The sequence below is a fragment of the Homo sapiens genome, chromosome 11 (genome assembly GCF_000001405.40).
Source record: "Homo sapiens chromosome 11, GRCh38.p14 Primary Assembly".
Classification (NCBI taxonomy): domain Eukaryota; kingdom Metazoa; phylum Chordata; class Mammalia; order Primates; family Hominidae; genus Homo; species Homo sapiens.
The window spans coordinates 47,302,067-47,328,295 of NC_000011.10; the positions used below are offsets into that span (position 1 = coordinate 47,302,067).

A 26,229-nucleotide genomic window follows, 5' to 3' on the forward strand; every position below is an offset into this window, starting at 1 on the left:
CCAACTGTTATTGTATTGGTGTGTATCTCTCCCTTTAGATCTAATAATACTTGCTTTATATAGCTGTTCTGTGTTGAATGCATATATATTTGCAATTGTTATATCCTCTTATTGTTATTACATAATTACTTTCTTTGTCTCTTTTTAGGTTTTTTTTGTGTGTGTGAGACAGAGTCTCACTCTGTCGCCCAGGCTGGAGTGCAGTGGCGCAATCTCCGCTCACTGCAACCTCCACCTCCTGGGTTCAAGCGATTCTCCTGCCTCAGCCTCCCAAGTAGCTGGGACTACAGGTGTCTGCTGCCATGCCCAGCTAATTTTTGTATTTTTAGTAAAGACAGGGTTTCACCATGTTGGCCAGGCTGGTCTCAAACTCCTGACCTTGTGATCTGCCCGCTTCGGCCTCCCAAAGTGCTGGGATTACAGGCGTGAGCCACCGTGCTCAGCCTCTTTTTAGTTTTTGACATAAAGTCTGTTTTATCTGATATAATTATAGCTACTCTTGCTTGCTTTTGGTTTCTATTTGTGTGAAATATCTTTCTCCATCCCTTCACTTTCAGTCTGTATGTGTCTTTGCTAGTGAAATGAGTTTCTTGTAGGCAGCATATAGTTAGGTCAAGTATTTTTTTTTTTTAATCCATTCAGCCAGTCTACCCCTTTTAAGTGAGGGAATTTAATCTATTTACATTCAAGGTTGTTATTGATAGTGTGGACTTACTTCTGTTGTTTTGTTAATTGTTTTCTGATTATTTTGTATGTCCTTTGTTTCTTCCTCTCATTTATCATTATGGTTTGGTGGTTTTCTGTAGAGATAAGGTTTGATTCTTTTCTTTTTCTCCTTTGTGTGTCTGTTCTACAAGTGGATTTCATACTTTTGTGTATTTTCATGATAGTAATTATCATCTTTTTACTTCCAGATGTAGGACTCCCTTGAGCATGTCTTGTAAGGGTGTGATGACTTCCTCATTTTTTTTTTCATGTCTGGGAAAGACTTAGTTTATCCTTCATTTCTGAAGCACAACTTTGCTGGGTATAGTATTCTTGACTGAGATTCTTTTTCTTGCAGCGCTTTGAATATATCATCCCATTCTCTACTGGCTTGTAAAGTTTCTGCAGAGAAATCTGTTAGTTTAATAGAGATTCCCTTAAATGTGACTTAACACTTTTCTCTTGCTGTTTTTTTTTTTTTTTTTTTTGAGACGGAGTCTCACTCTGTCACCCAGGCTGGAGTACAGTGGTGCAATCTCGGCTCACTGCAAGCTCCGCCTCCTGGGTTCACACCATTCTACCTCAGCCTCCTGAGTAGCTAGGACTAAGGTGCCTGCTACCATGCCTGGCTAATTTTTATGTATTTTTAGTAGAGACGGGGTTTCACCATGTTAGCCAGGATGGTCTCGATCTCCTGACCTCGTGATCTGCCTGCCTCGGCCTCCCAAAGTGCTGGGATTACAGGCGTGAGCCACTGCACCCGGCCTTCTCTGGCTGTTTTTAGAATTCTCTCTTTGACTTTTGACAATTTGACTGTAATGTACCTTGGAGAGGCCTTTTTTTTTTTTTTTTTTGAGACAGTCTCACTCTGTCACCCAGGCTGGAGTGTAGTAGTGTGATCTCAGCTCACTGCAACCTGCGCCGCTTGGGTTCAAGCTTTTCTCCTGCCTCAGCTTCCTGAGTAGCTGGGATTACAGGCATGCACCACCACGCTCGGCTAATTTTTTTGTATTTTTAGTAGAGATAGGATTTCACCGTGTTGGTCAGGCTGGTCTCGAACTCCTGACTTCAAATGATCTGCCCGCCTTGGCCTCCCAAAGTGCTGGGATTACAGGCGTGAGCCACCGCATCTGGCTGGAGAGGACTTTTTTGGGTTGAATCTGTTTGGGGACTTTTGAGCTTCCTGGATCTGGCTGTCCATCTCTCTCCCCAGACTTGGGAAGTTTTCAGCTATTATTTCATTAAATAAGTTTTTTATGCCTTTCCCCTTCTCTCTTTGGAAATCCAATAATATGAATATTTGTTTACTTAATGAGATCCCCTAAGTGTTGTAGACCTTCTTGACTGTTTTCCATTCTAACTTTTTTCCCTCTGACTAATTTCGAATGACTTATCTTCAAATATAGAGTCATTCTTCTGCTTGATCAAGTCTGCTGTTGTAGTTCTCTATTGTATTTTTTCCTTTTTTTTTTTTTTGAGACGGAGTTTCGCTCTTGTTGCCTAGGCTGGAATGCAATGGCACTATCTCGGCTCACCGCAACCTCTGACTCGTGGGTTAAAGCAATTCTCCTGCCTCAGCCTCCCAAGTAGCTGGGATTACAGGCATGCGCCACCACACCTGGCTAATTTTGTATTTTTTAATAGGGACGGGGTTTCTCCATGTTGCTTCGGCTGGCCTTGAGCTCCCAACCTCAGGCGATCCACCCACCTCACCTCCCAAAGTGTTGGGATTACAGGTGTGAGCCCCCACGCCTGGCCCTCTATTGTATTTTTTAAACTTTGTTCATTGAATTATTCAGCTGCAAGATTTCTGTTTTTTTGTTATGATTTTTATCTCTTTGTTGAATTTCTAATTCATATCATGAACTGTTCTTCTGATTTTGTTGAATCATCTATCTGTATTTTCTTGTATCTCATTGCATTTCCTTAAGATCATTACTTTTAATTTATTTTCTGGCAATTAATTGATTTCCTTTTCATTGGGGTCTATTACCAAAGAGTTATTATGTTCCTGTGGTGGAGTCATATGTCCTTGTTTTTTTCATGTTTCTTATGTCTCTGTGTTGATACCCCACATCTGGCAGAACAGTCACTTCTTCCAAACTCTCTGGAGTGGCTTTCATAGAGAAAGACTTTCACATGCAGTTGGGTTTTAGTGTGCCAGTTGGGAAGGGTATGGCAACTCTGTTTCTGGATAGATGTAGTGGTATGTTTTCTGTGTAGCTTCTTCAGCTGCATTCAACATGAGCAATAACTATGGGTGCCTCAAGAGTCCTAGGCTATAGAAGTGTGGCAGTGGCAGTGGTGGTATATGTTGTTAATATCCTTGGTGTCAAGGAGTTTTGGAGTCCTCCTATTCTCATTTTCCTCACAATGGAGTGACTCAGCCAAGAGAATCCCTCTTGGTGTCAGGTCTGACTGACATGGCCTACAAGCAGCTGCAGAGGCACTGGGTTCCAGGTACAGATGCGTGGAGTAGCTGTGGAGTCAGGTTTCCAGGCTTAGGGTCTCACAAACCTATTGTGGCACCTGGGTATTGGGGTACAGATTTGCTCTCTGTGGCAAGGTTGGATGTAGGTTGCCCACAGAGCCAGGATCTGAGGCACCCGCTAGCAGCTCAGGCCCAGGGGACTGGCTCATAACTGTGATTCTAATACTGGGGGATAGGCCATAGCACTGGCCTTACTCTGTGGAAGAAGGGGTGCTCTGGAGGTTTGGGCCTAGGGAGCAGGGTACAGCTGCAATTCAGGGATCTGAGCCAATAGGGCTCAGTGGCAGCTCAGGTCCCACGGAATGAGGCACCATGTAGTAGTGACTCTAGACTCCAGGATGGTGGGGCTTGGCTGTATCCTAGACTCTGTGAAGCCAAGTGCAATGGCAGCGAATACCCCAGCGTGGCAGAGCACAGCTGTCATTTGGGCCCTGGGGGTCAGGGAGCAGCACAGCAATGACTCCACTCCCCAGGAAGAGGGTATCTTAGCAGCTCAGACTCTAGGGGCAAGTCCAGTTCCAGGGAAGCAGGGTACTGGAGTTGTTTGGCTAGGGCAAGGTATCTCAGCTCAGCCACTGCTCTGTTTCCTGGGACATGGGGTACTGTGTCAGCTCAGCCCTGGAATGCGTAGCTGCTCAGCTTGGCCAGCCACCAATTCCCCTGGGGACAATGTGCTGCTTTAGCACAGGCCTAGTGTGGGCATGACTGTTCTGGGTGACCCAGGCACAGTATCATTGGAATGCAGGGTGCCGCTTCAAGTTAGGTGCTAGGATGCATGACTGCCCTGGGTGGCCAAGGCACCATTTCCTGGGATACAGATTGCTTCTTCACCTTAGGCACCAGGGAGGCCTGACTGCTCTGAGCAGTCTAAGTACTGTTTTCATAGTGGATAGGGTACTGCTTCAGCTGCAGCCCAAGGGGAGTGGGGAGGGGTAGGTGGAGTGGCTCTGCCTCCACTTGGCCCCTTGGGGAATCATGTAATAGCTGCTCACAGCTTGGCTTAGATTGTCAAGACATCAGGCTAGAGTGGTTTGTTGGTGGCTTAGCCTCAGGAATGAAGGGGAGCTGTGGCCATCTGTCCCCAGAGCAAAACACAATCCCACTGTAGCTCCACTTCCAAGATGGCATAGCACAGTAGCTGCACAGGCCACAGGGGCTGGCGCATAGTATTGGCTCCTTCTCTGGAGGGAGCACAGCTGTATGGACTCCAGGCAGCTCCTTCAGCTGGGCTTAGTGCCTAGAGGACTGTAGGGAAGCCAGTGGTGAAGTCTGTAGGTGTCCAAGGTGCTGGTGGCAGTTTCTAGAATTGTCTTGCTTACTTCCTTGCTGTGGGGAGAAGTTCCTCCTTGTTCCCAGCTGATCCTAGATGGGGGAAGGGGGATGGGGGGGAGGCCTGATATTGCCATCTGTTCTCTATGTGGCCATCCTGAGTTTCTGTGCTCATCAGCATTCCTGTCACCCTTCTGATACACCCCCACAGTCTCCCTCAGTTATTTTTGTTAAAAGTATAGCTGTTTATTACTCTACCTCTCTTTGTGAGGGGGATGTGCTTTAGGGGCTGCTCGGCCATCTTGCTGACATTACTCCCCTAGGCTGTTTTTTTTTGTTGTAACTTTTTAAAAATGTTTATTTATTTACTTTTGAGACAAGGTCTTGCTCTGGTGCCCAGACTGCAGTGCAGGGTGCAGTCATGGCTTGGTGCAGTCATGGCTTACTCCAGCCTCAAACTTCTGGGCTCAAGCAATCCACCCACCTCAGCCTCCCAAGTAGCTGGGACTGTAGGCATGCACCATCCCTCCTGGCTGAGATTTTTATACTTTTTTTTTTTTTTGGTAGAAACAGGTTCTTGCTATGTTGCCCAGGCTGGTCTTGAACTTCTGGGCTTAAGTGATCCTCCTGTTTCATCCTACCAAAGTGCCAGGACTATAGATGTGAGCTATCATGCCTGGCCAAAGTGAGCTGCTTTAATAAGAGTATTTGAAATTATTCCAGTGTGTTTTAATTCCAAATGTATTAAAATAGGTATGATGGAGTATCGGTCTTGCAGGAAGCCATTCAGCTTCAGTGTGCTACCTTTTCTGGCATCTTTCTGGGACAAATTCGTATTTGTTCTATGCTGGTGAGCAAGGGCTCTTTATACAGAGCTGCTGAGTGTAGCGACCTAAATTTTTTTGCTCAAACAAGGCTGTTTTAATAAGAAATAAATTATATAAAGTCACGTGATCCATTTAGTAAAATATTGGGCTGTGAACCAGGAGACTGGTATTTAGTCACACTGATTAGGTCTTACCCAATAACCTTTGATCAGTTGCCTCTCTACTTACTCTATTTCATGTGTTGTGAAATGGCATGATATTACCTACCTCTGATCTAGTTGAAAATCTTTTTTTTTTTTTTGTGAGATGGAGTCTCATTCTGTCACCCAAGTTGGAGTCTCACTCTGTCACCCAAGCTGGAGTGCAGTGGTGCAATCTTGGCTCACTGCAACCTCCGCCTCCAGGGTTCAAGCGATTCTCCTGCCTTAGCCTCCCGAGTAGCTGGGACTATAGGTGCATGCCACCACACCCAGCTAATTTTTTGTATTTTTAATAGAGACAGGGTTTCACCATGTTAGCCAGGATGGTCTCAATCTCCTGACGTGGTGATCCCAACCACCTTGGCCTCCCAAAGTGTTGGGATTACAGGCGTGAGCCACTGCACCCAGCTGAAAATCTTTTAATGAATAGAAAATCTACTCAGAAGTAGCAGATGAAGTTAGTGATATTTTTTAGGGTCAGTAAGAGTTGATAGGAAAGAAGAAATGAACATTTCTCAGTTACTGGCCAGGTGCTAGGCACTGTTAGGTGCCTTATATGTATCTTCAAATTTAATTCTTGTAAAGTAGTCCTATGAGGTAGGTATTATAACCTTCCTTTGACAGATAAGGAAAATGAGGCTCAGCGAAGCTGATTTCTGTACCTAAGGTCACACAGCTAATAAGAGGCACGGATCTGAACTTTGGTCAGTCTGATGGCAAACCCTGGGTTCTTTCTGCTGTGTTATGTTGCTACACAGAGAATTAATCTGATTGTTGTTTTTGTTGCTTTAAAGAGAAAATAACCTTACAGAGACTAAGGAGTAAAGATAAGTCAAAAATGAAAACTTTATTGTATAGTTTAGGAGGCAGTAACAGAAAGCAGCGTAAGTGGACTTGCAGAAGCAGGGGTACTGGAGTTTATGTTGCTAATGGATGGTGACTGGTGTGAGAGCCTCTTAGTGAAGTGCGTGGTTTCCTTTGTCTCTATTCATTGCTACCTCTGGCCACTGACCTATCACCTCTTCTCTCTAGGGTAAAGCCCACAGCTTGAAGCCAAGCATAAAGGAGAAGCTGGCAGGCAGCCCCATTCGTACTTCTGAAGATGTGAGCCAGCGAGTCTATCTCTATGAGGGACTCCTAGGTGAGAAACACACTGGGAAGGCCCTTTGCACTGGAGAAAGCTGACTCAGCCAGGGGAGAGGGTCACACTGAACAAGTAGCTGGTTGTCTTTCTGCTGATCTTAATGCTAACATTAGATAGCAGTTTTATACCTGAAGCAAGCGACTTACTGGGTCCAGAACAAGCAGTGGGTGAAAACTGGACAAGATTGGGTTTTGGTGTTAATCAACAGCCTTTGCCTTTCTGTCTTCCTTTCTTTCCTTTCTTGCTACCATGGTCCTTCCTGCTCTCAAATTGGCAGGAAGGGACAAAGGATCCATGTGGGACCAGTTAGAGGATGCAGCTATGGAGACCTTTTCTATAAGTAACCACATTTATTTGTGTGCTGTGTTCATCCCTCCTCCTTGGGAGGGACTGGGCCTTACTTGGAGGCATCTGGGGCTGGTGGCAGGCATGTTAGATCTGGGGTAGAAAGATTGTGTTTCCTTTGCCCTGGAATTTGTAATTATTCCCTTTTATCTGGATTTTACTCTTTATTTTTGTTTGGCAGCTATATTCTTAAATGTTAAATAGGCCCCCTAAGAAACCTTTATTCTATGCAGGCAAAGAGCGTTCTACTTTATGGGACCAAATGCAATTCTGGGAAGATGCCTTCTTAGATGCTGTGATGTTGGAGAGAGAAGGGATGGGTATGGACCAGGGTCCCCAGGAAATGATCGACAGGTATGGGGCTTAGGAAACCATTGGGAATCAGCAAACTCAGCCTCCTCCCAGTTAGTTCTGTGGTCTCCCACTTGAGGGCTGACTTGTGCTTGGTCTTCTCCTTAGGTACCTGTCCCTTGGAGAACATGACCGGAAGCGCCTGGAAGATGATGAAGATCGCTTGTTGGCCACACTTCTGCACAACCTCATCTCCTACATGCTGCTGATGAAGGTAATGTCAATTTTGCTGTGTCCAGCTCCGCTGATCCTAGAGGGGCAAGGCTTGTTCCTGTCGCCTAAATTTCGGGGTAGCTGGGAAGCTATCAAGGTATCTTAACTTAGGGCTATCTTCTTGATTGAAAGTCTGAGGCCTCTCTGCCAGCTTACAAATGTTCCATTTATCTGAAGCTGCCAGCCAGTTTTACTAAGGAGTGTTGTAGGAAGAACTGATGATTCTCTTTTTTTTTTTTTTTTTTTTTGAGACGGAGTCTTGCTCTGTCACCCAGGCAGGAGTGCAGTGGCGCAATCTCAGCTCACTGCAACCTCTGCCTCCCCAGTTCAAGTGATTCTTGTGCCTCAGCCTCCCAAGTAGCTGCGATTACAGGCGCACACCACCATACCCAGCTAGTTTTTGTATTTTTAGTAGAGACAGGGTTTCACCATGTTGGCCAGGCTGGTCTCAAACTCCTGACCTCAAGTGGTCCACCCACCTTGGCCTCCCAAAGCGCTGGGATTACAGGCGTGAGCCAGTGCGCCCGACCAAGAACTGATGATTCCATAGTATTTATTTATTTATTTATTTTCATTTTCTTTTTTTTTGAGACAGAGTCACACTCTGTCACCCAGGCTGGAGTACAGTGGCACGATCTTGGCTCACCACATCCTCTGCCTCCCGGGTTCAAGCAATTCTCCTGCCTCAGCCTCCCAAGTAGCTGGGATTACAGGCATCTACCACCATGCCTGGCTAATTTTTCTATTTTTAGTAGAGACGGGGTTTCACAATGTTGGCCAGGCTGGTCTCTCGTACTTCTGACCTCAAGTGATCCTCCTGCCTCAGCCTCCCAAAGTGCTGGGATTACAGGCAGGAGCCACCACACCCAGCCATTATTTATTTATTTTGAGATTTATGTGGTCTCTCTTTACTAAGTAGTTTTAGGGTGCCAATAGAGCTTCCCACAAAATACAATGAATTAATTTTTTTTTTTACAATAGTAGATTTTAAAACCTTAGAAAGGATGCTCAGGACCAGGCGCGGTGGCTCATGCCTGTAATCCAAGCACTTTGGGAGAACAGGGCGGGCAGATCACCTGAGGTCAGGAGTTCGAGACCAGCCTTGACCAATATGGTGAAATCCTGTCTCTACTAAAAATACAAAAGTTAGCTGGGCATGGTGGCTCATGCCTCTAATCCCAGCTACTTGGGAGGCTGAGACAGGAGAATTGCTTGAACCTGAGAGAAGGAGGTTGCAGTGAGCCGAGATTCCACCATTGTACTCCAGCCTGGGCAACAAGAGCGAAAATCCATCTCAAAAAAAAAAAAAAAAGAAATGATGCTCAGAATTTGTTTTTCAGCACAGCCCTATATCTTACAGAATTTTCTATAGTTATAAAAAGAGCCACTCATTAACAAAGTAATAGTAGATTTTAACTTGATTTGGTTGTACTTGGTTTTATAGCTGTGGAAGAAGTATGTTACCAAGTAGAAGAGTTCTGCTCTGAAAGGGAAACATAAATCTGGAGTTGATGGGTAGAAGAGAATTGTTTGGAGAACGAGCCACTGGGTTTCTCCTCCTTCTGTTCTCCCCAACCTCCCTAAGTGTGAAGGGATCAGTTGATCAAATGCAGAGAATGCCCCCAGCCCCTCTTGGTGTGCTTCATTTCCTGGTGTAAGTTGCACTGTACTCTGTGGAATTTGGAGGGTACCAGTTGACTCTGGCTGAGAAACGATGATGATCCCTAACCTTCAGAGATGTCTTGGCTACCCAGTCTGGTGTTGCCACTCTAAGTCATTGTTTCTGAATTACACTATGAAGAGCCTTGGGTGTTTTTAGAGCCCTTGTAGGGGTGAATGTTGTGGTATTGAGTGGGGATAGGGAGAAAGTGTCCCCTGGAACCAGAACCGCTCTAAGAGCCACTTTTCTGCAGAAGCTAACTAGAGACAGAGCCAGGACTTTTCTTCCCCTCATGGTGGCAGAATACACAGTTGAAAGTTTTCTCCCATGTTCAGTGATGTGGTCTTTCAGAATTCCACTTCTCTCAGATGGTGGGAAGCCCACTTGTACATTCTCTTTTCTCTACCTCAGTCGGGAGGAGAGCAGATCCCTTGTTAAGAGTCATGTGTTGGCTTTTCAGGTAAATAAGAATGACATCCGCAAGAAGGTGAGGCGCCTAATGGGAAAGTCGCACATTGGGCTTGTGTACAGCCAGCAAATCAATGAGGTGCTTGATCAGCTGGCGAACCTGGTAAGCACGTCTGGCCACCCCTTAGGCTTCCCCATGGGTCATTTCTTGGTTTGTGTCACTTGCAGTCCAGTTCACCCCGTTTTTGAAAATGGAGCAGTTGTCTTTGACTGTAAATGAGGCATTAGTCCCTGTGTTCTGTGATGGGATTCTCTGTATAAAACCATCGTAGTGCATCAGTTTTGATGTGTGGTCTGTGAACTGCTGAGGGTTCAGAAGGTGAAAACGATTTCAAATGATTCTAAAATGTTATTTGCTGTTTTCACGGGGTTACATTTGCACTGATGGTACCAACGCAGTGATGGGTAAAACTGCTGGCACTGTAACCCAAGTGAAGACAATGGCCCCAAACTATGCCAGCAGCCATTGCATTCCTTGCCTTCATATACTCTCAGTTTTTCGTTTTTGTTTTGTTTGTTTGTTTTTTGAGACTGACTCTCACTCTGTCGCCCAGGCTGGAGTGCAGTAGCGCAATCTTGGCTCACTGCAACCTCCACCTCCTGGGTTCAAGCGATTCTCATGCCTCAGCCTCCCAAGTAGCTGGGATTACAGGCATGTGCCCGCCCACCCAGCTAATTTTTGTATATACATATATATTTTTTGAGACAGAGTTTCACTCTCTTGTTGCCCAGACTGGAGTGCAATGGCGCAATTTTGGCTCACTGCAACCTCTGCCTCCCGAGTTCAAGCAGTTTTCCTGCTTCAGCCTCCCGAGTAGCTGAAGCTCCTGAGGTTACAGGCATGCACCACCACGCCCAGCTAATTTTTGTATTTTCAGTAGAGATGGGCATTCCCCATGTTGGCCAGGCTGATCTTGAACTCCTGACCTCAAGTGATCTGCCTGCCTTAGCTCCCAAAGTTCTGGGATTACGGGTGTGAACCACCGCACCTGGCTTACACTCTTAGTTTTTTAAAAATGCCAGTTGTGCTTGTAAATGTCCTTGAAGAAGCAGTGAAGACTGTTACTCTTATTAGATTGATTAATTATAAATGTTTTTAATATTCTTTGTGACAAAATGGGAAGTACACATAAAGCATCTCTGTTGCAAACCCAGTATGATGGTTGTTTTGAAGAAAAGCAATTTGCAGCCTTGATTTGTTCACCTTGAGTTGCAAGTGAACTTAATCGCTTTGTTCATTGAACATCATTTTTACTGGAAAGGACAATTAATAAACCATGGTTATTCAGAGTACCCAACTGGCAGACATTTTCCTTCAGTTAATCAAGTGAGCCTGTTGTTTCAGGGAAAACAACTGACAGTATTTGTTGCCAATGATAAGATTCAGCTTTTAAGTGAAAATAAGAATTTTGGCAGAGTTTTGAACTTGAAGCTTCCCAATATTTAAAGACTTTTCTAATGAGATTGGTGGTGATATTAATGAATGTGATTTTTTAAACATTGATTTAATATTACAAAATATGTCAACATTTGGAAGAGCTGTGTAACTCAGTGAAACACTATTTTCTTTCTTTTTTTTTTTTTGGAGACGGAGTCTCGCTCTGTGGCCCAGGCTGGAGTGCAGTGGCAGGATGCTGGCTCACTGCTACCTCCGCCTCCTGGGCTCCTGGGTTCAAGCAATTCTCCTGCCTCAGCCTCCTGAGCAGCTGGGAGTACAGGCGTATGCTGCCACACCTGGCTAGTTTTTTTTTTTTTTTGTATTTTAATAGAGACGGGGTTTCACCATCTTGCCCAGGCTGTGGTCTTGAACTCCTGAGTTTAGTCAATCCGCCCACCTTGGCCTTCCAAAGTTCTAGGATTACAGGCACCCAGCCAACAGTATTTTCTAAATACCAATGTATGATGTTGTAAATTCAAGTATGGATAAAAGATCTACTCAAAATGCAAGGCAGAGATATGGATCTTAATTTTTAAATAACATTTTTTTTCAGTCTGGGGAACATAGACCCCATTTCTTTTTGTTTGTTTGTTTGTTTTTGAGACGGAGTCTCACTCTGTCACCCGGGCTGGAGTGCAGCGGCGCGATCTCGGCTCACTACAACCTCCGCCTCCCAGGTTCAAGCTATTCTCCTGCCTCAGCCTCATGAGTAGCTGGGATTACAGGTGCCCGCCACAACGCCCGGCTAATTTTTATGTTTTTAGTAGAGATGGGGTTTCACCACGCTGGTCAGGCTGGTCTCCAACTCCTGACCTTTTGATCCGCCCACCTCGGCCTCCCAAAGTGCTGGGATTACAGGTGTGAGCCACCGCGCCCAGCCAAGGGAGACCCCATTTCTACAAAAAATAAAAAAATTAGCTAGGCATGGTGGCATGCACCTGTAGTCCCAGCTACTTGGGAGGCTGAGGTGGGAGGATCACTTGAGCTCAGGAGGTTGAGGCTGCCGTGAGCACCACTGCACTCCAGCCTGGGTGACAGAATGAGACCCTGTCTCAAAAAAAAAAAAAAAGTGTATGGAGAATAGGGTCTCACTTTGTTGCCCAGGCTGGTCTCCAACTCCTGCCTGGGCTCAAACGGTACTCCTGACTTGGCCTCCCAAAGTGTTGGGATTATAGGAATGAGCCACCATGTCTGGCCTAAATGGATTTTAATGTAACAATGTAAAATGTTCATTGATGTGCTTTCAGATTCCACACTGCAACTAACTTTCAAAAGCTGCTTTTGCTGGGTGTTGTGGTTTATGCCTGTAATTCCAGGTACTTGGGAGGCTGAGGCAGGAGTGTCACTTAAGCCCAGGAGTTCAGAGCTGTGGTGGGCTATGGTCATGCCACTGCACTCCAGCCTGGATGACAGAGCGAAACCTTGTCTCTAAAAAAAAAGAAGCTTCTGCTTCCCAAGTTCTGGTGTAGTGTTAAAGAAGAATACGTCTATTTATCTGAAAAGGCTATGAAAATCCTCTTCCATTTTCCAAATACGTATCTCTGAGGTCAAGTTTTTTTCATATACCTCAACCAAAGCAACATACTGCAACAGACTCAATGCAGAGGCAGATAGGAGAATGCAACTATTTGATTCTAAGCCAAACATTAAAGAGATTTGCAAAAATGTGAAACAGTGCCTTTTTTTTGAAAATATAGTTATTTTATTAAAAATGTTTATATTACTATGTAATGGGTTATATTAATCATTAATTGTTTTTATAATTAATCATTTGAGAAATTTCTGTTTAAATTTCTAGTATGTAAATATCTATAAATATAACTCACATAAACAAAAGCTCTTTGGAATCTTCAATAAATTTTAAGAGATATAGGGCCTCTGAGACCAAAACATCTGAAACCACTTCCCTGGTGACCAGTGGCCAGCAGATGAGACTGTGCTGAGGAAGCCGATATGAATTTGATTGCTGGATGGGGAATTCTTGGCCCAGAGCCCTCTGAGAGGGATGTATGACTGTCCCTAAAAAATCTCTCTTTCATCAGAATGGACGCGATCTCTCTATCTGGTCCAGTGGCAGCCGGCACATGAAGAAGCAGACATTTGTGGTACATGCAGGGACAGATACAAACGGAGATATCTTTTTCATGGAGGTAGGTGCTGGTTCATGCTGGGGGCCCAAAGGGCTATTGAGAGTCACAGGGAACTCATAGGACCGATGCCAGGATATTTTTCTCATTTATCTCATTCATCTTCATGATCTATTTATCATTAAATTATCAGATTGGTTTTTTTGTTTTTTGCGTGTGTGTTTTTTTGAGATAGTGTCTCGCTCTGTCACCCAGGCTGGAGTGTAGTGGCTTGATCTCGGCTCACTGCAACCTCCGCCTCCCGGGTTCAAGCAGTTCTCCTGCCACAGCCTCCCAAGTAGCTGGGATTACAGGCGCCAGCCACCAAGCCCAGGTGATTTTTCTATTTTTAATAGAGATGGGGTTTGATCATGTTGGCCAGGCTGGTCTCAAACTCCTGACCTCAAGTAATCCACCCACCTTGGCCTTCCAAAATGCTGGTATTATAGGCATGAGCCACCGCACCCGGCCAAATTATCAGATTGTTATTCAAATAATTAAATTTTATATAGTAGATGATACCCATTTCTTTTTTTTTTTTTTTTTGAGACAGAGTATCGCTCTGTCACCCAGGCTGGAGTGCAGTGGTGTGATCTTGGCTCACTGCAGCCTCCACCTCCCAGGTTCAAGCAATTCTCCTGCCTCAGCTTCCTGAGTAGCTAGGATTACAGGCATGCGCCACCATGCCCGGCCAATTTTTTGTATTTTAGTAGAGGTGGGGTTTCACCATGTTCGTTGGCCAGGCTGGTCTTGAACTCCTGACCTCAAGTGATCCACCTGCCTCGACCTCCCAAAGTGCTGGGATTACAGGTGTGAGCCACTGCGCCCGGCCCCATTTCTTTTATACACGTGCGCGCGCACACACACGCGCACACACATATACATAAAGATATCTATATATAGATGATATAGTCACATTGTTCATAAATCAGAATAACAGAAAATAGTACACATTGGGAGGTCTTGCACTCATTCTTGTCCCCTTCCACTGAATTTCCCACTCCCCTCACCCCTTCATCCTATAGACAACCACTTTTATTGGTTTCCTTTGTAAATTCCAGTGGATTTTTTTTTTCTTTTTCTTTTTTTTTTTTTTTTTTTTTGAGACGGAGTCTCACTCTGTCGCCCAGGCTGGAGTGCAATGGCTTGATCTCAGCTCACTGCAACCTCCACCTCCTGGGTTCAAGCGATTCTCCTGCCTCAGGCTCCCAAGTAGCTGGGATTACAGGCGCCCACCACCGCACCCAGCTAATTTTTTGTATTTTTAGTAGGGATGGGGTTTCACCATGTTGGTCAGGCTGGTCTCCAACTCCTGACCTCACTGATCCACCCGCCTCGGCCTCCCAAAGTGCTGAGATCATAGGCGTGAGCCGGTGCACCCGGCCTTCCAGTGGACTTTTATGCAAACAATAAAATATGAACACAAATTCTTATTTTCCTCCTTTCTTTTTTTTCTTTGAGACAGAGTGTTGCTCTTTTGCTCAGGCTGGAGTGCAGTGGTCCAAACTCAGCTCACTGCAACCTCTGCCCCTTGGGTTCAAGTGATTCTCCTGCCTCAGCTGCCTGAGTAGCTGGGATTACAGTCGCCCACCACCATGCCCAGATAATTTTTCTATTTTTAGTAGAGACGGGGCTTCACCATATTGGCCAGGCTGGTCTCAAACTCCTGACCTCAAGTGATCTGCCCACCTTAGCCTCACAAAGTGCTGGGATTATAGGCGTGAGCCACCCCGCCTGGCCTATTTTTCTCCTTTCTTTCAGAAAGATAGCACATCTTATCCATTGCTTTATCCCTTGCTTTTTTCATTTAACATTGTCCTGGTCCTCTTCTGTATCAGTACCAAGAAAGCTTTCCCATTGGTTTTATGGCTACATGTATTCCACTGTGTGACTGTGCCTTAATTTATTTAACCAGTCAGTACATATGGATCCTTGGGTTGCTTCCAAATTTGCTGTTACTGATAGTCATACTGTGAATGATGCTGTGCCTGCTTCATTTCATACATGTGCAAGTGTGTCTAAGGATTCCCAGAAATGAGATTGCTGGGTCAGAGGGACAATGCATTTGTAATTTTGGTTGATATAATTCTTAAGTGTCTCATAACACGTAATACCCCCTTTGCCATTAATTTTGTTGAAGAAATTGGATCGTTTGCCCTGTGGAGTCTCCTACATTCTAGATTTTTTGCTGATTGTGTCTCCTTTGTATTAGCGTGTTTCCTGTCACATATTTCTCATAGACTGGTAGTTCAGTTTAGAGGTTTGATCACTTTCAGATTCACTCTTTTGGGAAGAATACTTAATGAGTGGTGCTATACGCTTCCTATTGCCTCATATGGTTGTCCCTCTCTTACACATCAGTGGGCTCAGATGTGGGCAACCTGATCTGCCCACCAGAAAGTTCCTCATTTGTCTTCTGATTTTGCCTATGGTATTTTTTGACACACATAAATTTTTTATTTGTATATAACTTTTTTTTTTTTTTGAGACAGAGTCTCTCTCTATCGCCCAGGCTGGATGCAGTGGCATGATCTCGGCTCACTGCAACCTATACCTCCCGGGTTCAAGCAGTTCTCCTGCCTCAGCCTCCCAAGTAGCTGGGTTTACAGGTGCCTGCCACCACACCCGGCTAATTTTTGTGTTTTTAGTAGAGATGGGGTTTTACCATGTTGGCCAGGGTGGTCTCGCACTCCTGACCTCAAGTGATCCACCCACCTCGGCCTCCCAAAGTGCTGGGATTACAGGTGTGAGCCATCACGCCTGGCTACTTTTATATAATTAAATTAATCAATAGTTTCTTTTACGGCTTCTGGATTTTGAGGCATGGTTAGAAAAAGCCTTACTCTCCAGGATTATAAAGGAAATTGGCCGTGTTTTCTTCATTTCTGTGTTTTTAATTCTGAAACAGACCTAAGTAATTTTAAGGACCAAATACAACTCCTATATATAAAGTAGTAAAATTTTGCCTATGTTATCTGTTCCCCTGTGGTTTAGCTGAATTTGAATATCACATTCACAGTTTTTTTGAACAGGTGGTCTACCAAACGCAAGAAGGGCTTACCCTGAAGCAGAAACATACATGTCAGTGTAGCCAAGAAGGAGTCATTTTCATGTCACCCTTTAAAGTGTTAGAATTTGGCTAGTTGCCTCTCAGAGCCTAGGGCTGACTTAGGACATCTGCACCACAGCAGAAGTGGCACATGACTCTTGCCCTTTTCTTTTCCTTTTAAAAAAAATATCTCCAGCAGATTCCTTGAACTACTCTTACTCTCACCACCGTACAAAGGGAGCCTCATGCTAAGTCTCTGGAGTGTGGGACTGGACCCATTACCCAAATAGATGCCTCTTCCTCGAAGTGGTGCCATGCCAGGGAAGAGTGCACCATGGTCACTGTGCCATCACCTGGCTCCTGTGAGGCTATTTGATTTAGCCTTTCTCAGAGCATAGCCTGCTTTTTGCATGATCAACTGGACAGCAGTTTGGGAATTTTTTTTTTTTTTTTTTTTTTTTTTTTTTTTTTTTGAGACAGAGTCTCACTCTGTTGCCCAGGCTGAAGTGCAGTGGTACAATCTTGGTTCACTGCAACCTCCACTTCCCAGGTTCAAGCGATTCTCCTGCCTCAGCCTCCTGAGTAGCTGGGACTACAGGCACATGCCATCATGTCTGGCTAATTTTTGTATTTGTAGTAGAGACGGGGTTTCACCATTTTGGCCAAGCTGGTCTCGAACTCCTGACCTCAAGTGATCTGCCCACCTCAGCCTCCCAAAGTGCTGGGATTACAGGTGTGAGCTGCCACACCTGGCCAAGGAAAATATATATATATATATAATTTTTTTTTTTTTTTTGGAGGTGGAGTCTTGCTCTGTCACCCAGGCTGGAGTGCAGTGGCACAATCTTGGCTCACTGCAACATCCACCCACCGACTTCAAGAGATTCTCCTACCTCAGACTCCCGAGTAGCTGGGACTACAGGCACGCATCACCACGCTTGGCTAATTTTTGGTATTTTTAGCAGAGATGGGGTTTTGCCATGTTGGCCAGGATGGTCTTGAACTCCTGACCTTAAGTGATCCGTCTGCCTTGGCCTCCCAAAATGCTAGGATTACAGGTGTGAGCCACCATACCCAGCCAAAGATTTTTAAAAATTGTCTTTGTTGCCCTTTTTTTAGTTACAGAAGTAAAACAGTATATGCTGTAAATGTTTCAAACCGTGCCAAAGTTAAAAAATAATTAAAAGTTTTACTCACTGCCTTTCAATCCTTTGTCCCAGAGGTAACCAGTAATGAAGAGTTTTATGTGACTCCTTTCAGATTATTGAAAATGCATATTTGTGCAAATATAATTTATTTATATGGAATTTTGTTTTTGCACTTACGAAAGTGGTATCAAATTACAAATATTGGGCTGGGCATGGTGGCTCACATGAGCCTGTAATCCCAGCACATTGGGAGGCCGAGGCAGGTGGATAACTTGAGGTCAGGAGTTCCAGACAAGCCTAGCCAACGTGGTGACACCCTGTTTCTACTAAAAATACAAAAATTAGCCGGGCGTGTTGGGCAGGCGCCTGCAATCCCAGCTACATGGGAGGCTGAGGCAGGAGAATCGCTTGAACCCGGAGGCGGAGGTTGCAGTGAGCCGAGATCATGCCACTGCTCTCCAGCCTGGGTGACAAAGCGAGACTCCATCGCAAAAAAAAAAAAAAAAAAAAAATTACAAATATTGTTAAATAATTTGCTTTTTTCACTTAATGATATACCTTTCCGTGTCTTTTTTTTTTTTTCTTTAATGGATGCTTAGCCATTAGATGTCGTATGGTGTACCATAATTGGTTTAACTAGTGCCTCTCACTATTTTTTAAAAAAATATTACTCATGCTGGGTGTGGTGGCTCACGCCTGTAATCCCAGCACTTTGGGAGGCCAAGGTGGGTGGATCACGAGGTCAAGAGTTCAAGATCAGCCTGGCCAAGATGGTGAAACCCTGCCTCTACTAAAAATACAAAAAATTAGCCAGGCGAGGTGGTGGGTGCTTGTAATCCCAGTTACTTGGGAGGCTGAGGCAGAGAATTGTTTGAACCTGGGAGGCGGAGGTTGCAGTGAGCCGAGATTGCACCACTTCACTCCAGCCTGGGCGACAGAGCAAGACTCCGTCTCAAAAAAAAAATTTAAAAAAATGAAATATATATTTATATATTACTCATTAGGCCAAGCATGTTGGCTCACGCCTGTAATCCCAGTACTTTGGGAGGCTGAGGCAGGAGGATTGCTTGAGCCCAGAGTTTGAGACCAGCCTGGGCAACATAGGGAGACCCTGTCTCTATAAAAAATTTAAAAATTAGTCATACATGTGGTGATGTATGCCTGTGGTACCAGCTACTGGGGAGGCTGAGGTGGGAGGTTCGCTTGAGCCCAGGAGGTCAAAACCAGCCTGGGCAACATAGGGAAACCCCGTCTCCACAAAAAATTTTAAAATAAGCTAGGCATGCTAGTGCATGCCTATGGTCCTAGCTACTGGGGAGGCTAAGTTGGGAGGATCCTTGAGCCTGGGAGGTCAAGGCTTCAGTGAGCTCTGATTACACCACTTCAGTCCATCCTGGGTGACAGAGCAAAACCCTGTCTCAAAAAATAATAATAATAATAATAATTGCTCATTGAATATCCTTGAACATATATTTTTGCACCCTCACATGAGAATTTCTATAGGATATAGTCCTAGACATGAAAATTTCAAGTCAAGCTTATATACGTTTAAAATTTCGGTAGATTTTGCCAAATTGCCATCCCAAAAACTATACCAGTTTACACCTCCAACAGCCACTTAGACGACTATAACAGTATATTACAAGCATTTCTCTAGACTAGAATGCTCTAGCTTAGAAATCATGTGTTCTCCTAAATGTGTTCTGCCTGCCTTTACATGATGTTCTTAAAGGATTATGAAAGGTGGAGTGGTATTGTCCATTTTCCCCCTGGAGATAACCACAGAGTCAGACTGGGCCTAGAACTCAAGTTTCCCATTCCTACTCTGCCACTTTGACTGATTCTTCAAAGGCTTTAGAACTCCAGTAAAGTCTTATACAGTAGCTTAAACCTGATAGTCTTGTGTGTTCCTTACTCACTCACCTAATATTTGTGGAGCACGTATTATATGCTAGGTACTTTGTTGGGTGTTGGGATTATAGCAGTGAATAAGACAGACGTGATTTCTATTGCCCTTAGCATTGACAAGCTATTGGGGAAATCAGATAATTAAAGAGTATTATAAAATATGGTGAGCATTATGAAAGAAGCTCAGGGGGGGCAGAATAAATACCAGAGGGCCTAGGAGCTGTGGACAACTCCTTTGAGAAGTTGACCTTTGAGCTTAGACTTGAAGAAAGAGTAAGAGTTAATGGTTGGGGAGTGGAAGAGCAGTCAGGGATATTTGAGCTAGAACCAATGGGACTCAGTGATGGAGTGTAGTTAGTTAGAGGGAAGAGGAAGGAGTCGGGCATCAATTCTTCATTTCAGGCTGGGGCAGCTGGGTGGATGGTGGTGCCATTTCCTCAAATAGCAGACTTAAAAGGAGGATCTGCCCAGGAGGAGATGTTGAGTTCAGATTTGGACACAATGAGTTTGAGGTGCTACATGTGAAGCATCCAGACACTGAGAAGCTCAGGAGCTCAGGAAGAGAGGTCTAAGATGGAGAAAGGTAAGAACCATCAACATGGTAATAATCATTAGTATCATAGTTCTGATATCTAGTAGCTAATTAGGGTACTTTCTGTGTGCCTGGCTTTGTGTGCACCTTAAATACTTTATGCACATTAACTCATTTAGTCTTCATAGTAACTGTAGGAAGTTATTACTGTTACTATCCCCATCTTACCTGTGAGGAATTGTGGACACAGATGAACTTGCTCAGGGTGGCACAGCTCAGTAATGGCAGAGCTGGAATCTAAACTCAGGCTGACTTTAGACCTGTGCCCTTCACCATTGTGCTGTAATGTCTCCCGTAACATTTGAAGCCTTAAGAACGGATAACTGGCTGCGCATGGTGGCTCACGTCTGTAATCCCAGCACTTTGGGAGGCCGAGGCGGGCGGATCATGAAGTCAGGAGATCAAGACTATCCTTGCTAACACGGTGAAACCCCGTCTCTACTTAAAAAAATATATAAAAAATTAGCCGGGCATGGTGGTGGGTGCCTGTAGTCCCAGCTACTCGAGAGGCTGAGGCAGGAGAATGGCGTGAACCTGGGAGGCGGAGCTTGCAGTGAGACGGGATTGCGCCACTGCACTCCAGCCTGGGCGACAGAGCGAGATCCGTCTCAAAAAGAAGAACAGATAACTTCACCTGAAAGAGAATGTTGAACAAGAAGGTGTCAAAGATATTTGCTTTTTAATTTATATCATCCTGTATTGTATCATTTTTATGTAATAAGCATTGTTCATGTGTCACTTGTGTAATTAATTTTTAAAAATATTTTTATAGAAAAAGGGTAGACCCAGGATTAGAAAGTGCATCAGCTCCATTTTTCTCCTTGGTTAAGTCTGTCATGATCTCCTACCTTTGTGTTTGTCAACAAAGATGATTCCTGAGCTTGTAAGATGGAGGCATGAGATCTCCTCCAAATACTTTAAGTCCGTAGAGCACATAAGAGGTAATAAATAACTGGGCCGGGCGCGGTGGCTCACGCCTGTAATCCCAGCACTTTGGGAGGCCAAGACGGGTGTATCACTTGAGGTCAGGAGTTCGAGACCAGCCTGGCCAACATGGTGAAACCCTGTCTCTACTAAAAATACAAAAATTAGCTGAGCATGGTGATGTGTGCCTGTAATCTCAGCTACTCGGGAGGCTGAGGCAGGAGAATCATTTTAACCCACAAGGCAGAGGTTGCAGTGAGTCGAGATTGCACCACTGCACTCCAGCCTGGGCAACAGAGTGGGACTCCATCTCAAAAAAAAAAAAAAAAAATTATAGCCAATGTGATGGTGTGCACCTGTAGTCCCTGCTACTTTGGGGGCTGAGGCAGGAAGAACCTGGCTGGTCGAGGCTGCAGTGAGCTGAGATGGCGCCACTGCAGTCAAGCCTGGGGTACAAAGTGAGACCCTGTCTCAAAAAAAAAAAAAAGAGGTAATAAATAACTGATTGATTTGTGCCTCCTCCCTTATACATCGGTTCCTTCTAATGACTCCATCTCTTCCAACAATCCTTGTAGCAGGCAGCATGTCAGTAGTTCTGTTTTGTGTCTTCACCTAGGGAAACCATGAGCGTAAGGCAGAAAACCTGACCATGGGGATGCCCCAGGACCACCTTTCCCTGTAGGAAACAGTCTAGGGAGAGGCTGTCAGAGACAGGAACCACTGAGCCGCTTTGTGCACTTCTCCAGGTGTGCGATGACTGTGTGGTGTTGCGTAGTAACATCGGAACAGTGTATGAGCGCTGGTGGTACGAGAAGCTCATCAACATGACCTACTGTCCCAAGACGAAGGTGTTGTGCTTGTGGCGTAGAAATGGCTCTGAGACCCAGCTCAACAAGTTCTATACTAAAAAGGTACGCAGGATCTGTGTTTGGGTTGGGGCTAGTAGGCATTGAAGACCAAATAGTGAATTTCTCTTTGGGAAGTTAAAATTCCAAAACACACATCTGGAGCCACACTTCTGTCTCCAGCTGTTGGGTGGAGTACCTAAAGCTGTCTCTGTCAAGCCAACTAGGCCTAATAGTAGTCACAATCGGTATTAACCAACCATATCTAGCATTCCTACACATCTGTACCCATGCCTTCTTTAAAGCCATACTATTCATATGCTCCGGATCTATCATTCATAACCTCAACAATGAATAAGACATCCGAAAAATAGGAGGACTACTTAAAATTTTACCCCTCACTTCAACCTCCAGCCTTCAGTGGCCATTATAGAGCAGTGGGTGGGGAACCCTGGACAGCCCTCATGATGGGACCACTCTCCCCCTGTGCCACAGTGTCGGGAGCTGTACTACTGTGTGAAGGACAGCATGGAGCGCGCTGCCGCCCGACAGCAAAGCATCAAACCCGGTGAGGAGAGTTTTTCCTGAGAGTGTCTTCCCTGTTTCTACCAGTCCTTCTGAGTGTCAGGGGCCTGGCAGGGAAGTCAGGGGTGGGATTCCCCACCTCACCAGTGAGCTGATAGCCCCCTCCCTCACCACAGGACCTGAATTGGGTGGCGAGTTCCCTGTGCAGGACCTGAAGACTGGTGAGGGTGGCCTGCTGCAGGTGACCCTGGAAGGGATCAACCTCAAATTCATGCACAATCAGGTAGGTGCGAGCGGCAGCACGAGGCTCCCTGTCGTTCCATCTGTAAGAAGGACCAATGTCCAAGCCCCCAGTACTTCCCCAGCAAGCATGAGAGAGGGCCCTCTGGAGCTAGAGGGAGAACTGGAGCAGCTGGACCCAGGAAAGAAACCCCAGGGGAGGGCACAGTGACGTTGGCGACCACCTGGCGCTGTGAAGGTGCACCAGGGAGCCCGTGGGGGAGGCTGGGCAGGAGCGAGGCCAGGTGGCCACGCTGCCCCATCCGTTGGACTCCACACAGTGTGAGTGGGAGCGTCTCACTTGGCCCTTCCCCTGCAGTGTCTCTGCCTTCCTCTATTCCCAGGATATGCTTCTGCTTGGTGGTTTTGCTTTGAGAGTCTAGACTGGCCGATCTCCTTGTGTCTTTCTGGTGTGCGTGCAGCTTGCGTGTGCGTGCGTGCGTGCCTGCGTGCTTGTGTGTAAGTAGCTTGTATCTGTCCTCTCTGGAGTGTGTTTATTTGCCTTTTTCTTCTGCGGATTCTTCTTCCTGTTCTTTTCCTTCCTCTGAGTGTTCCCACTCTGTCCCCTGCTCCACAGGCCCCATTCCCTTTCTTTTGATTGGGGAGCACTTGTGGATACATCTTTCCCTCATTGTAATTCCACCATAGGAGCTGACTTTTTTTTTTCTCTCTTGGTCTTTTAACACAGTGTTACCTTTTTCTCTCAGTGGACATTCCTTAAGCTAATTCCTTTCTGAGGCCAGCGCATCATCCCAGGTCCGTTCACAGCTCTGACTCCTCACACAAGTGCCTTCCCTCCTCTTTCCCTGATGTCCGGGTTCCTCTCCCTGAGGCTCTGAGCCAGACCCAAATGTGTGAAGCCCCACAGACCCTGGCCAGGCCGCAGACCCTCAGGGGAGGTGGATGCCTGACTGACGTGGCTGTCTCCCTCCCTCCGCTAGCCGTTGTAGCTCTCTTTCAGGAACGTAGCTGGGCAGCTTTGGTTTAACAGGAAATGGCTGCGCAGGCTGCCAGCAGCCCCTTAGTATATTTTCAATTTAGGACTTAGGGCAGTAGCCAACCCCAAAGACCTTAGGACCATCCCAGAGAGGGGTCTACCTAAGTGCTTTTCTGGACCACAAAGGTGTCAGTACTTCTTGGGGAGCAGACTTCTGACCACATTTTAGCGCCGTGGCCTCTGAAGATGAGATCTTGCTGAGCAACGCCCAGGTGCTCTGCCCTGTTCCTCGTCCTGCCCTTGGCATAGCCCCACTGGGCAGCCATCCAAGCCAGTCTGTGGTTGAAGGCTTGGCCCCTAGAAGATAGACTGCAGAGAAGGGGAGGAAAGCCCGGGTTCTCAATCTCACCTCACAGTTAGTAATGAGATAGCGACCTGCCCCCTATTCTGCCACACAGTGTTCAGTTGGAGTGGAGGAGGCAGCAGACCTCCTGGTGGAGCTGTGCAGTCTGGGGTAAATGGGAAAAGCACAGGCTTCGGTGTGAGGACATGCTTGGATTTGAAGCCCAGCTTCCACGTTCATGGGCAAAGAAACTTTCTGATCCATAGTTTCCTCATGTAGAAAATGGGGGTAATACTATTTACTGTGTCACGTAGTAGGTGCAGAGATTAGAAATCGTATTTGTAAAACCCCAAGTAGGTGCTCAGCAAGTGGTAGCTGATATTATTATCACCACATACCTCTTGGGAGATCCTGGATCCTGTTTCAAGGAGGATACCAACACCTCCCACCCTGAGGACAGTCTGAGGGGAGCTTTGCGCCCGTGCCAGCCCTCTGCGCCGGAGGAGGATGCATGGAAGGGTAGAGACCTAATGGGCTGAGTGGGGACCCCTGGGGCACTGTGTCTTACAAGCACTGCCCTGGGCAGAGGGTACGGGCGGGCAGCCCAGGCCAGCAGCAGGGCCTTCGGGTTGGGTTTGACCATTCAAACTAACGCCTTCATTTCTCTCCCATGCTTTCTCCTCCGGCCAGGAGCGGAAGGTACATGCCCTTTCTGCTATCTTCGCTTCTTAGCGCTTTTGAGTTGTGTGCGTGTGGATTCTTCTGTCCTCTCTTTGGGAAATAGACTTTCTTTGTGTGGGTGGGGCTGTAGCTGGGAGAGTGTGCTGTGTGGGGCAGGGGTGGAGCCTGTGGGCCTTACCCCGGCCTCCCTCCCTCTCTTGCAGGTTTTCATAGAGCTGAATCACATTAAAAAGTGCAATACAGTTCGAGGCGTCTTTGTCCTGGAGGAATTTGGTAATTACACTATTTTGCTCTTAGGTCTGGACTCACATGGCAGTAACTCAAACCTCGGAGCTCCAGAGGAGGGTCTAGGGGCAGGGAGAAGAAGAACCTCTGTAGAGAAGTCAGGAGGAGCAGGAGTGACAAGGAAGAAAAGGGACCCCTGAGATGAGAGCCGGGATGTGGAAGGGAAAGATAGATAATGGATCGCAGAAGAGCAAATGGGGCCTCAGGTGGGTTTCGAGTTTAGAGGTGGTCCTGAAGCAGCTCAGTGAAGTAGCACCACCTCCCCGTGCTGGGCCAGCCAGTGGTCAGAAAGTTTGGGACACAGCAGACTGGCGACCCCCAAGCTCCACTATGTCCATGTCACCTGCTGCAATCTCTCTAGCAGCCCAGTGCGCTAGCCAGCCTCCCTGGCGCCGCTCTGGTCTCCACCTGGCCTCTGTGCCAGACAAAGGGGCACCGGGCGTCGCAGGCAGACTCACTTGAGGGACAGAGGAGTCTAGCGGGACAGCTGTAGCCGGAAGCTGGGAGCCAGCGCTAGGGAGTGGTGTAGTGGGTTCTCACCCTGGGGCTTTGAGTTCCTGCTGTGTTTGTGCTTCATTCTTTTGTGCCCCTCATCGCTGCTATGAAAACCTTCGTTCTCCAGCAGGTAAAGTGACCTCGGCTCGTGCTGCCTCTCCCCAGGTCTCTGCCTTGGGCCCTGCCCTGGGTGGGTAGCTCCCATCGAACCAGCTCCTCACACTGCCAGCTCGTCTCTTCCTTTCTCCCCTACCCTCTTTCTTCCTACCTTGCCTCCCCCTTCTCACCGGCTCACTGGACTTTCCTCCCCGTGTGTTCCCTTCTCTCTTCTGTCAGAGAGATACTTGGGGGAATCTTCCAACTCGGGAGAATGGCCTGGGGCTTCTTGCTCTACCTTTGATGAGTTTATTCCCTGCTGACCCTGGGTTCCCCCAAATTCTACCTCCCAGGGTCAGAAGAAGGTACGGCCAATTCTCCTCCTGCCTTTTCTGGCCCCCAGGGAGATGCCAGGCCCCTCTGCTCCCAGTCTCAAGGGGCCATGATGGTGGCTGAGCCTGGGGGGCCTACTCCTTCCTCTGGCCAAGCAGAACCCCTGCATGGCTGGAGCGGGGGGACTCTCACTCTTGCCTTCTGGGCTGTGGACATGTGTGTATTTTGCCTGATGCTCCCTGTCACCTCCCTCCCTGGGTGCTGTACTCGCCTGTCTTCTGCTGGGTGTGTTGCTCCAGAGCCCTCAGACGCTCTCCCTCACACAGGCAGGTCTGGGCTTCTCCTGCCACTCAGGGAAGGACACTGCCACATCCTGTGGGTTTATATCATGTTACCTCTTCATCCAGCCTCAAGACCCTCTGTGTAGGGGGCTGGGAATAACGGGAACTGTGTTTAACATGACCCAATTTTCAGGCTGGTGACGAGTTCACGGGTGTCTCAGCAAAGTTGGACACAAGCTAGAGAGAGCTCTCTCCTCCCAGCCAAAACCTG

The 26,229-nt window shown here is 46.4% G+C and overlaps 1 protein-coding gene across 105 annotated transcripts in view; it reads left to right on the forward strand.

The window, feature by feature from the left end:
* Positions 1 to 26,229, forward strand: part of MADD (MAP kinase activating death domain) — a 60,844-nt gene that overhangs the window by 32,879 nt on the left and 1,736 nt on the right. For 44 of the 105 annotated variants that reach the window (NR_164841.1, NR_164842.1, NM_001376651.1 and 41 more), the window contains 9 exons: positions 6,525 to 6,633; positions 6,914 to 6,976; positions 7,215 to 7,335; positions 7,441 to 7,546; positions 9,666 to 9,776; positions 13,154 to 13,261; positions 21,605 to 21,769; positions 22,199 to 22,271; positions 22,405 to 22,511. Coding sequence is in view for 97 of the 105 variants with exons in the window: in NM_001376651.1 (NP_001363580.1) it covers positions 6,525 to 6,633; positions 6,914 to 6,976; positions 7,215 to 7,335; positions 7,441 to 7,546; positions 9,666 to 9,776; positions 13,154 to 13,261; positions 21,605 to 21,769; positions 22,199 to 22,271; positions 22,405 to 22,511 (963 nt within the window). In the remaining 8 variants the exon portion in view is untranslated. Of the gene's footprint in view, positions 1 to 6,524; positions 6,634 to 6,913; positions 6,977 to 7,214; positions 7,336 to 7,440; positions 7,547 to 9,665; positions 9,777 to 13,153; positions 13,262 to 21,604; positions 21,770 to 22,198; positions 22,272 to 22,404; positions 22,512 to 23,195; positions 23,268 to 24,477; positions 24,487 to 24,671; positions 24,742 to 26,229 lie in introns of all 105 variants that reach the window. The other 61 variants (NR_164837.1, NR_164838.1, NM_130470.3 and 58 more) reach the window with 9 other exon arrangements.